The sequence below is a fragment of the Homo sapiens genome, chromosome 4, assembly GCF_000001405.40.
Source record: "Homo sapiens chromosome 4, GRCh38.p14 Primary Assembly".
Classification (NCBI taxonomy): Eukaryota; Metazoa; Chordata; class Mammalia; order Primates; family Hominidae; genus Homo; species Homo sapiens.
Genome location: NC_000004.12, coordinates 6,583,856 through 6,596,200, shown reverse-complemented (window position 1 = coordinate 6,596,200; position 12,345 = coordinate 6,583,856). Strand labels below are relative to the sequence as shown.

The 12,345-nt window shown below is 53.9% G+C and overlaps 1 protein-coding gene across 2 annotated transcripts in view, besides 1 other annotated feature; it reads right to left on the bottom strand.

Moving 5' to 3' along the window:
• Nucleotides 1-12,345, bottom strand: part of MAN2B2 (mannosidase alpha class 2B member 2) — a 48,174-nt gene that overhangs the window by 27,162 nt on the left and 8,667 nt on the right. The window contains exons 4-7 of one of the 2 annotated variants that reach the window (NM_015274.3): nt 9,033-9,205; nt 7,041-7,156; nt 2,851-3,028; nt 1,469-1,667 (exon numbers count right to left, since the gene is read on the bottom strand). In NM_015274.3, the coding sequence (NP_056089.1) occupies nt 1,469-1,667; nt 2,851-3,028; nt 7,041-7,156; nt 9,033-9,205 (666 nt within the window). The remainder of the gene's footprint in view (nt 1-1,468; nt 1,668-2,850; nt 3,029-7,040; nt 7,157-9,032; nt 9,206-12,345) is intronic. The other variant, NM_001292038.2, reaches the window with a different exon arrangement.
• Nucleotides 2,394-2,893: an enhancer, noted in NCBI's record as "H3K4me1 hESC enhancer chr4:6595035-6595534 (GRCh37/hg19 assembly coordinates)". NCBI's record gives its function as "activates a minimal SCP1, AML or CMV promoter by ChIP-STARR-seq in naive H9 embryonic stem cells {active_cell/tissue: H9 hESC(naive)}" and the evidence as "EXISTENCE:reporter gene assay evidence [ECO:0000049][PMID:30033119]".

Here is a 12,345-nt window from a genome sequence, read left to right as displayed (position 1 = left end):
GCCCACCTGGACGCCACGCCCACCCACACCCGCCTGGATACCACGCCCACCTGGATACCACGCCCACCTGGACACCACGCCCACCTGGACAGAGCCACACCCAACTTGACTCGGGTATATCCCTACCTGCTAGATGTGGCCACACCCACAGTCACTACCCCACCCACCTCACCATTAGCCATGCCCACATTAACATATCTCCTCCTGCCTTGACTATAACCACACCCACATCCACGGACATCCCCCAACCCGTGTGTGCAGCCCCACCTGCCTCCAATGTGGTGTCAACAGCAGGAGCCGGGGACTATGCAGCCCCACTGGTCACCATGCAGACCCAGAGGCTGGGGCCCAGAGAGGCAGGACTAAGCCAGGTCATGGGTGAGTCAAGGCAGTGCCCAGGCCAGAATGAGCCCTGCAGCTGGAGTTCATCTGTGGCATCTCTTTGGAAGGGAAATGTTATGGTTTGAATGCCCCTCCAAAACCCATGTTAAAATTTAATTGCCATTGTGACTGTATTAAGAGGTGGGATGCTTAAGAGGAGATTAGGCCATGAAGGCTCTGCCCTCGTGAACAGATTAATGTCATTGTCATGGGACTGGGATTGTTAGAAAAGCAAGTTCAACCCCCTTGTCCGGCTGTTCTTTTGCACTCAGCCTTCAGCCATGGGTGATGCAGAAAGAAGGCCCTCTCTAGACACCAGCCCTCCACCTTGGACTTCCCGGCCTCTACATCTGTGAGCCAAAGAAACTTCGTTTCCTAATCAATGACCCATTCTGTGGTATACTGTTACAGCAGCACCCAGAGGTCTAGGACATCTGCTGAGCCCTGCCTCTGTGCTGGGCAGGAGGCTGAGAGCACTTCTTCTCATTGAATTTTCACAGCAACCCTATCTATGCACGAGGCACCACAAATGTCCCCCTTTGGAGACAGGGTGGTTTCATGACTTGCACACAGGCAGCGAGTAGAGGCTTACTCACAGCCAGCCCTCTTAGCTCTCAGGCTGTGCTGCTGGTGGCCAACCCAGTTCTGGCCTGAGGACACAGGCATGATGCACAGGAGGTGCCCAGTAATGACTGTGCAGTGAAAGGAAGCCCGAGTCAGCCTCAGCATCAGGAAAGGGCTCGTAGAAGAGGTTTATGTGGAACTCATGCAGGAAGAGAAGGTGATGGAGGCCGCTCCCAGCAGGAGGCACCACCTGTGCAAAGGCCAGAGGCAGGAAACTGCATGTGGTGGGCAATGGTGAGAGGCTGAACCCTGTGGGAATCAGGTGGTGCATGTGGTGGCCAGGACGTCCAGGTGGAGTGAGCAGAGAGGGTCAGTCTCTGCCCCTGCGCCCCACACAGAACCTGCCTGGAACCCCTCCAGGGCTTGGAGAGCAGTGCCGAGCAGCCACTGAAGTGGGCAGAGGGTACGTGGACTATACCCTCCCTGCCACCAAACTACCACCCCAGCCCCTGGAAGCCTGTACCTGTGGAATAGGGCAGGAAGTCGTGGTGGTCGCGGACACGCCAGGTGACATTGAGAGCGTGCAGGGCACGGAAGTAGTCGCCCAGCGTGGCATACTGCACCGAGACACCGAGCTCGGCAGCATGGCTGTTGATGTGGTCCAGCAGCGGGTCCATGTTGGCAAACTGCACCGAGGCATTGAAGAACTGCTTGTCACATCCCTGCAGGGACATGGGAGCAACATCCTGTGCCGTGGGAGCAGGGCGCTCGCCCAGTGGGGGTGGGCCGATCGCTGCCCTCCACCAGCTGCCCTCCCAGTCTCCAAGGCGGCCAACAGGGGCCCCAAACCAGCTCCCATAGCAGTGGCTTGATCTCGGCTCATGCAACCTCCGCCTCCCGGGTTCAAGTGATTCTTCTGCCTCAGCCTCCCTGAGGCTGCAGGCGCCACCACACCTGGCTAATTTTTATATTTTTAGTAGAGACAGGGTTTTACCATGTTGGCCAGGCTGGTCCCGAACTCCTGACCTCAGGTGATCTGCCTGCCTTGGCCTCCCAAAGTGCTGGGATTATAGGTGTGAGCCACAGCGCCCGGCCCTGGGCATCTCTTAAGGCCCATCAGTGTTACTACTTATCCAAATCATTATAATTAATGATTATTAATTATTATAATTAATATAATGATTAATAACAGCAATAATAACCATGACTGAGTTACTGATCTTAAGCTTGCCTTCACAAGGGCAGTCACGGATGAAGAAGGCAGGCTCTGGGGCCCGCCTGACTGGGTCTGAACACAAATTCCACCCCTTCCTAGCCACCCTAAGGAACTCTGTGGCCTCAGGAAAATTCCTTAACCTCTCTGGGCCTTGGTTTCCTCAACTGTGAAATGGATACCAGCCTGCTTCCTAGGCCCAGTGGTGCAAATTAGATGGCTGAGACAAATATATCCCACGGGGCAGTGCCCAGCACACAGCAGGTGCTCACTAAAGGTTAGCTGTGACGATGGCCACGACGTGCCGGGCACTGGCTTCCCGGGAACGCTTCACCTCTCACCAAGCCTATGAAGCCTGCTGCCACCATCCCCATTTTACAGCGGAGGCAACTGAAGCTCAATGGACTCTAAGGCACGCAGTGCCCGAGCCGGGAGCCAGCCCGGCCCAGGCAGGGAAGAGAGCTGAGTGGGAGCTGGAGAGGCCAGCGTGGGTGAGGGTGCTTTTCCAGGTGGGGGAGGGGCTGGTAGAGTGGGAGAGGCCCAGGGGTCTGCAGGGAAGGAGGATGGAGCCACTGGGCTGAGCATGGCTGCCTAGCTGGGTCTGGATAGGGTGGCCCTGGGTGCAGGGACCAGGGCTTGCATAGTGCTCCTTGGGCTGTGTTGAGGGCACAGCACCTGGGACTCTGCCTTACCCAGGGCCAGAGGACGTGCGGTGTCCGGAACCAGGCGGCCCTCTGCTTCACGTTGGCCACCAGGGCCTCGGCATAGAGGTTGATGTTGGCTGGGGTGACAGGCTCACTCATGTTGGGGTACACCCCATCTTGGGGAGGCTTGGGGAAGACAGCCACGCCATTCCAGTAAAATCCTGACCTGTGCGAGGGCAGAAGGTTAGGGCAGAAGACACGAACTCTGTGGACAGCCAGGGCTCACACCCAAGTGCCATGTTCTCCCAGCCTTGGGACCTTGGCACATCATTTCACCCTGAGACTGAATTCTCCCACTCCATGACCGACGGTGGGTCACAGATTTGTTTGCTCATTCACGCAGGCCAACTTCTCGCCCATCAGACCCCGGGTCTCAGGACCCCAAAGAGGCCGGGGGCTTGGTGAGGCAAGTGAGGCCCTGGCCTAGGGCACAAAATTTATGGGGGTGCCTCAATTCTTAGTAGTTGAGATAAATGATATTTTAATGCAGTACTTTAAAAAATGAAAATTAATGCAAAAAACCCATGAGGAACAAAATGTCAGAGTTTTAAATAAAGACAGGCTCAGTATTTAACATCTTTCTCTGTTTGCCTTAGGCTGGGGGTGTGGAGAACCCCCAGTTAAGTGCCTTCCTTGCTCACACTGTGCAGCCTCGGGGTAGCAGCCATGGAACCCTTGTCTGGAGCTCTCCAACCTGGGCAGCCCCTTCCAGCATTCCCACCTCTGTTTCTTTTACAGACAGGGTCTTGCTCTGTTGATCAGGCTGGAGTGCAGTGATATGATCACGGCTCACTGCAGCCTCGAACTCCCGGGCTCAAGCCATCGCCTCAGCCTCCCCAGGAGCTGGGACTACCACCATGCTCGACTTGTTTTTGAATTTTATGTAGAGACGAGGTCTTGCTCTGTGGCCCAGGCTGGTCTCGAATTCCTGGGCTCAAGCAATCCTCCCACCTCAGCCTCCCAAAGCATTGGGATCACAGTCATCAGCCACCAGCACTGCCACCTCTAGCCTCACCAAGCTCCCTGGTAGAATGTGGAGCAGGTTGTTGTGAGGATTAAATGAAAGTCATTTATGGAAAGGAGCTAGAAACAGTGCTGGGCACAAAGGAGGGCTGACAAATGGCAGTGACCGCTAATTAATCCCGGCCAGTGTTCTTCACCCCCTCTGCCTTGCCTGTTGTCTTTCCTCTTCCAAGAGAGGCTAAGCACCTGGCCAGGGCAGAGTGCGGATTTGAACCCAGGGCCGTCTGACTGCACAGAGACCAAGGCTGACTGCTGCCACCACGTGGAGGCTGCAGAGCTGGTGGCCTGAATCCAACGCTGGCTCCACCACGTCTGCCAGCTGTGGGACCTGGGGCGGGCTGCTGTGCCTCAGTTTTTCCTTCTGTAAGATGGGGCACTCACAGCATCTCCGTCAGTGGGCTGCTGCGAGGGTCTGTGAGGTATCACAGGGAGAATGCTTGGAACAGGGCCTGGCTCATGGTGGGTGCTTGGAACAGCAAGCCAGGAATGTGAATGTGGGTTCACTGCCTATCCTCTCTGCCCCCGGGGGGTCCTGGTCCATGGCTCCACACTCCTGGTCCCCACTGAGTCTTCACCCAAAGCCTTCTGGGGAAGAAGGTGTACAGCGAGGCTAAAATCCCATGTGCTTCTTGACATCTGAGCCTTGAAGGCCCCCAGGGGCCTAGGAGTCCCCTGCTGTCACCTGATAGCCCCCACCAGCAGAAAAGTCCTCTTGTCTAGCTCTTCCACTATCAGTCAGACCAGCTGCACCCCACCTGGTCCTCCACCCAACAGTTTCCACCTCCCTGCCAGCTGGTGAAATTATTCAAATGAGCCACTCACGTCCTCTGCAGGAGTCGGAGGGCACCCGCCCCCTTGCTGCTACCCAGCTGCCCCTGCGTGTTCAGTCCGCTCCACAGTGCACTCCCACGGGGCCTTGGCGAGTAAGGTGTGAGCTGTGATTGTATGTGATAAACAGAAGCTGCTATGGACGTCACCTGTGCTGGGTAGGGTGGTGTGTATTCAACCATCTACCATTTAGGGTGAGGACCCCTCCCTCACCACGGGGTGAACGGGAGGTGATTGGACAAGAGGCAGCTCCGCAAGACAAGGATGAGGAGCGATTTATTCCCAAGGGTCTCCAGGCCCCTTCCCTCTCCCACTCCTCCAGCCTTCTTTTTTTTTTGTTTTGAGATAGAGTCTGATTCTGTCACCCAGGCTGGAGTGCAGTCATGATCTTGGCTTACTGCAACCTCCATCTTGTGGGCTCAAGTGATTCTCCTGCCTCAGCCTCCCAGGTAGCTGAGATTACAGGCAATGCTGCCATGCCTGGCTAATTTTTGTATTTTGACTACAGACAGAGTTTTACCAGGTTGGCCAGGCTGGTCTCAAACTCCTAACCTCAAGTGACCCACCTGCCTCGGCCTCCCAAAGTGCTGGGATTACAGGTGTGAGCCACTGCGCCTGGCCTCCTCCGGCCTTCTTCATTGTGATCCCTGATAGGGACAAGGATGAGGAGGGGAAAGGGTGGGTGGGGACGAAGCCTTGTGCCAAAGCCCCAACAACAAAGCCAGGCCACGTCAGGAACGGGTGGGGAAACACCCATGTCCGGGGGCCTTCCCCCTGCATCCACAGCACCCCTATCCCTGCACCTGCAGCCTGGAACCCAGCTTGCTCTCCAGGCCCAGGCGGGATAGAGGCAGGGAGATCACTGGGGTTGAGGGCAGGTGAGCTTGGAGGGTGTTAGAGAGACACTGGACAGTGCCCTGGAGGACCGTGGACGGGATGGGGTGCCGATGGATGGCTCCTGGAAGTCAGCACATTCAACTTCCTCACCTGGCAGGTACGGACAGGCGAGGCGAGAGCAGAAGGGGACCTGTCATGGCCAGGAAGGAGGTTCTTGGGAACACTGATGTAAAGACCTCATCATTGATTGATTGATTGATTGATTGAGACAGAGTCTTGCTCTGTGGCCCAGGCTGGAGTGCAAGTGGTGCAATATTGGCTTACTGCAACCTGTGCCTCCCGGGTTCAAGTGATTCTCCTGCCTCAGCCTCCCAAGTAGTTGGGATTACAGGGATGCGCCACAACACCCAGCTAATTTTTTTTTTCTTTTTTTGTATTTTCAGTAGAGACGGGGTTTTGCCATGTTGGCCAGGCTGGTCTCAAATTCCTGACCTGAAGTGATCCACCTGCCTTGGCTTCCCAAAGCGCTGGGATTACAGGCATGAGCTACTGTGCCCGGCCTATTTTTTTTTTTATTTTAAATAGAGACAGGTTCTCACTCTGTTGCCCAGGCTGGAGTGCAGTGGTACCATCAGAGCTCACTGTAGCCTCCAACTCCTGGATTCAGGCGACCCTTCTGCCTCAACCTCCTAAGCATCTAGGACTGCATGCACCCAGCTAATTTTTAAGTTTTTGTAGAGATAGGTTCTCACTAGGAAGCCCAGGCTGGTTTTGAACTCCTGGACTCAAGTGATTGTCCTGCCTCAGCCTCCCAAAGTGCTGGGATTACAGGCATGAGGCACCGCACCCAGCCAAGATCTCATCCTTTAAACAATCCTCTTTTGGGACAGGGACTCATAACAAGAAGCAATTCAGAGTCACACAGAACTGGAGTCAAATCCTGCCTCCCCTACTTACCAGCTGGGTGACCCTGATCTGGTCACTTACCCTCTCTGAACCTCAGTTTCCACATCTGTAAAATGGGGTTGATAACCCCACCCACTCTGCTGGGGAGGCTGAAGAATGGGACACCATGTGCTTAAGGAGCTCTTGTCAAAAACTGCAGAATAGGGCTGGGCGCGGCGGCTCATGCCTATAATCCTAGCACTTTGGGAGGCCAAGGCAGGTGGATCATCTCAGGTCAGGAGTTTGAGACCAGCCTAGATAACATGGTGAAACTCCCTCTCTACTAAAAAGACAAAAATTAGCTGGGTGTGGTGGTGGGTGCCTATAATCCTAGCTACTCAGGAGGCTAAGGCAGAAGAATCGCTTGAACCCAGGAGGCGGAGGTTGCAGTGAGCCAAGATTGCGCTACTGCACTCCGGCCTGGGCAACAGAGCAGAAGCTCTTGTCTTAAAACCAATAAACAAAAACAAAACTGCAGAACAGCTGCAGGGGCTGGGCAGACCCTGCTGTCTGAGATCCCAAAGGCACTGCGGAAGGGCACGTACCTGTTGGAGAAAGGGATGTGGGACGGGGTGCAGTAGCTGTACTGGTCCATGATGTGCGTGAAGATTTCCTGCCGCTCTGAGAGGGATGGGGACCCTCGCCACACGAACTGCAGCCCCTGCAAACCGAGGAGAAGAATGAGGCTGGAGGGGCCACATGGCTGCCCCAGCTCCACTTCCCTCAGCCCCATCTGGGTGTCTCCCGCCTGCCCTCACCTTGGCCCTCCCTCAGTGGTTCAAGGATGAGCTCTCCCCTGCCGTTTCCGTCTAAGACTGGTTGTGGGATTTGCCCTCCGGAAGGAGTGCTCATTCACCCCACCCACTCCTCGATGCAGGCTTTTCTCTGCCAAACCCTGTAGAATTAGCACCTTCTAACTCTGCTTGAATGCCCCCAGGTGCAGGAAGCTCATTACTTCTCACCAAGTGTGCAGTTTATTTTTTTATTTTTTATTTTTTACAGAGTCTCACTCTGTCACCCAGGAGTGCAGTGTCACGATCTCAGCTCACTGAAACCTTCACCTCCCTGGTTCAAGCGATTGTCCTGCCTCAGCCTCCTGAGTAGCTGGGATTTCAGCCACTTGCTACCACGCCCGGCTAATTTTTGTATTTTTAGTAGAGACGGGGTTTTGCCATGTTGGCCAGGCTGGTTTCGAACTCTTGACTTCATGTGATCTGCCCACCTCCCAAAGGGCTGGGATTACAGGCGTGAGCCACTGTGCCCACTGGAAATGGGGTCTTTACAGAAGTAATCAAGTTAAAATGAGGTCATTAGGGTGGGCCCTAATACAATAGGATGGGTGTCCTCAGAAAAAAGGAAAATTGAGACACAAACATGCACCCAGGGAAGATGATACGGGGGCACTGAAAGAAGCGGGGCATCCACAAGCCAAGGAGAGAGGCCTGGAGCAGCCCCTTCCCTCACACCTTCAGAGGGAGCGTGGCCCTGCTGACACCTTGACCCTGGACTTCCAGCCTCCAGAACCATGGGACAATATGTTTCTATTGCTTGAGTCACCAGTCTGTGGTCCTTTGTTATGGCAGCCCTAGCAAATGATGACACCGTCCCATAAGGTTGCTGTGAGGGTTAAAAGAAATGCAGGATGAAGCTGGGCACCAGTGGCTCCCGCCTGTAATACCAGCACTTTGGGAGGCTGAGGTGGGCGGATCGCTTGAGGACAGGAGTTCGAGACCAGCCTGGCCAACATGGTGAAACCCCGTCTCTACAAAAAACACACAAAAAATTTAGCTGGGCGTGGTGGCACTCACCTGTAATCCCAGCTACTTGAGAGGCTGAGGCACAATAATCGCTTGAACCCGGGAGGCAGAGTTTACAGTGGGCCAAGATTGTGCTACTGCATTCCAGCCTGGGTGACAGAGCAAGACCCTGTCTCAAAAAAAAAAAAAAAAAAAAAACAACAACCCAAAAGACCCCAAAAAACCCAAAAAACAAAAAACAAAAGAAAAGAAAAAGAAATGAAGGATGAGTAGGGCCTGGTACCAGGCCTGGGACTCCCAAGGGCACAATCGAAGGCAGCGTCTACCATGGTTGTTGTTGCTACTTAAGTCTTGTAACAGTTGCCCTCACACCTGAAGAATCACAGCGTCTCTGGTAACTGTTCTCCCAGCTGAACACACCCTGCCATTCCTCTAGTTGTCACCCCTGCTTACTGAGTGCCATTCTGCTCTAGTCCCTGTGAGGGGCCTAAAGAAAGAGTCAGCCCCGCCTCAGGCCCAGCTGATGGAGATAGGGGTCTGGAAGCGGGAGGCAGCCAAGCTGTGCCTGCAGCTCTGTGAGAAGCTGGGGTACAGGGAGGGGGGCCCTCCTGGTGGAGGAGGCGACAAGAGCAAAGGTTAGGGGACAGCCCCGCGGTCTATGCAGCTGCCAAGAATTTCCGAACACTTCGGCATAGAGCAGCAGCTTTCTACCGTGCTCTGATTCAAGGAAGGAAGGGAGGAGCGGTCGCTGGGCGGCAGCAGACGCGGCACACCACTCACCCGGGCCTCCTGCATGGCTGCCTTCAGGTCGTAGTCGATCCGGGAGCCGAGGTGGGCATTGAAGCCCGCCAGCGCAAATAGGGTGGGCGTCGTGGCAGAGGCGCCAAACGGGTCAACGTGCCAGGAGAACTGTGGCCGGATCCCAAATGTTTCATAGAGAAACCCGTGTCCTTCTGCAAAGACAGCAACACCCTGCTGGTGCCTGGAGGGCGGGCCTGTGCCTCCCGGCCCCATCCTCACCCCAGGGGACCCTGCCTATCCAGTGGGTTGCAGTGCCAGCTACTGGGCCAGGCAGGGTCATGCAGAACTGCAGAGGTGAGGGTGTTAATTATTAACTTTTAATCATGGTGAAGTACATATAACATACAATTTACCACCTTAATAATTTGTGAGTGTATAGTTAAGTAGTGTTACTACATTCACACTGTTATACAACCACCACCACCATCCCTTTCCAGAATGTTCTCCTCTTCCCAAGTTGAAGCTCTTGGCCTCATTAAACACTAACTCCCTATGCCCCTCCCCCAGCCCCTAGCACCCCCATTCTACTCCCTGACTGCATGAATTTGATGCCTGTAGATATCAGCGGAATCACACAGCATCAGTCCTTCTGTGACTGGCGTATTTCACTCTGCGTAATGTCCTTAAGGTTCCTGCATGTTACAGCACGTGCAGGGGTGAGGATTTTTGTGTGAACTTGGATAGAGCACTGATTTTGATGATGCTATGGAGGTCTTGGACATCACCAACAATAAAAGGTTAAAGGTGAACTTCAAACCTAAGTGTGCGGTGGTTCAAAAGACGTCCAAGGCCAGCAATGTGGCTCACGCCTGTCATCCTGGCACTTTGGGAGGCTGAGGTGGGAGGATCGCTTGAGCCCAGGAGTTTGAGACCAGCCTGGGCAATATAGTGAGACCCCATCTCTACACATGCACACAAAATTTAAAAAATTAGCCAGGCGTGGTGGTGGCACATGCCTGTAGTCCCAGGTACTTGGGAGGTGGAGGTGGGAGGATCACTTGAGCTCAGGAGGTTGAGGCTGCAGTGAGCCATGATCCTGCCACTGCACTTCAGCCTGGGTGACAGAGTGAGACTCTGTCTCAAAAAAAAAAAAACCACAAGAAAAGATGTCCATAAATTATTGCTGCGTCTTCAACAGGTGAGGCTTAGGGCCTAGAGGGTGGCCAGACTCAGTGACTCACTTCTAACAAACACAGTGAAGCAGAAGTACCTGTGTACCCTTGAGGAGAGAAGGTGAAGGGCACACAGCTTCTACTGTGGCTGCCCTTGCCTGCTCTCCTGGGTCGCTGCTCTGGGGGCCAGCTGCTGTGCCATGACCAGTCACATGGCGAGGAACTGAGGCTTCCTCTCACAGCCGCGAGAGCCAGCCTGGAGTAGACCCTCCAGCCCCAGTCCAGCCTTCAGATGACACTGCCCCACCTGACTCCCAGATGGCAACTTTTCAAGAGGTCCTGAGCCAGAACCCCCTGGCTAAGTCACTCCTGAGCTCTTCACCCACAGGAGCTGTAGATATGAAATGTTTGTTCTCAGAAGTTTGGGGGCAATTTGCTACACGGAAATAGATCATGAATACAAAGGACTCCATGCCAGAATCACCCAACCATTCATTTATTCATTTATTACTTAAGAGTCACCATAGTGAACCAGATATTGGGTTCAGTGCTGCAGGGAAAAAGAAAACCCCAGACTTGTATAAGGCATTGATTAACATTCCCCAAGTCCTTGCCCCAAATATAATCTTTCTAACACCTTGAGAGATGGGTGTTATAATCTGCACTTTAAGATTGGTGAACAGTGCCTCAGAGAACTCTCATAACTGATCTAGAGTCAAACTGCCTTTCACTGATGAACTTGCAGTCCTGGGGACCCTGGCTGAGCCTCAGATGAGGCCTGGGATGCTGGGACCGAGCAGCAGTCAGACCTATGAGCAAGGCCAAGCAAGACAGGGCAGGGGATGACTGTGGGAGGTGAGGAGTGGGGCTGGCATCAGGTGCACAGCAGAGGTGAGAGGGGATCAGGGGGAGCGTGGACTAGGAGTGTGGGTGGAGGCTGTGCATATGTAAGCAGAGAGGATGGAGAAGGAGCAGCCAGAGGGTGGGGGGAGCACAGGGGGAGTGCCAGCTGCAGGATGAAGGAGGGAGTGGGCAACAGCACCGCACTGAGAGGAGCCAGGAGCTCTGGAGGGTACGGCCTCGCACCAGACAGGGCAGCCGGTGGGGGCAGGCTGAAGGCTGCCAAGTCAGCACCCCTTTTTCACTCGCAGAACCTTCCCTCTGTTCAGGGTGCACCATGCCCAGCCTCAAGGGACGAATCACAGTTGATCTAAGCCAAATGTGGCACGCTTACTCCCTCCTGTCAGATATTGGTTCTCTCTGTCTGGCAGCTGGAGGGGCATTGTTAAGTAATGAACTGGGAGGCCATCAGGCTGAGCCGGCTCCAGGCCTCGAGTTCCTCTGTCAGCAAACCCAAATCTAACTTGGTGGAAACAGGAAAAGAGAACTTAAGCTTGACCCATCGGAAACTGCCAACCAACCTCTAACTAGGGACTGTTCACTGTAGGCAAATGTTTTCTTTGTCTTGCTTTCAGGAGCACCTTATAGACGTTTCCCTCTCATATTCCCTTAGTGGAGCCATGAACTGCTCACAGTCTAGTACTTCCTGATTCAGGAATCACTGTTTGTTCAAATAAATGCTAACATTTTAGTGTGTCTAAGTTTATCCAACAGAATAGACTATGGGTATAGAAAGCCCCCTCTCTTCCTTTTACTGCCTTGAATGTGGTGTCTGGTAACATGATGGCTGGAGCTATGGCAGCCATATCGTGACCACAAGGGTAAGGACATGAGAATCACAGATATCAAGGTACTGCAGAACCAGTCCCAAACTATCCCCATCTTGTTAAGTAAATGTTCTTAAGACTCAAGTCGCTTTGTTACAGGTAGTTAGACAAGCATGAGTGGGGCAGGGGAGGGCTCTTCCCCCACCCACTAGGAATGTTGGGTGATGGTTTGGCAATTATCACATTGCCTCTCTAGAAGTGAGAAATTGGCAGCCAGCACTAGGGAGAGGGCATTTCCTGATGGTCCACACCTGTTGCACTAACATGTTAATTGAATGCAGGTGCCAGGGAGACGTGACTTCCCGAGCAGGTGCATTAAGAGACAAAATGGCGGAGTTTGACCTTCCAGGGACACTCCACTGGAAAAGGGAAGAAAGCGTCAGATGGGCATGTGTGCAACTTCCTAAACACAGTGCGTGTGCTCACCTCCCAAGGGTAAGGAGGGCACTGTGA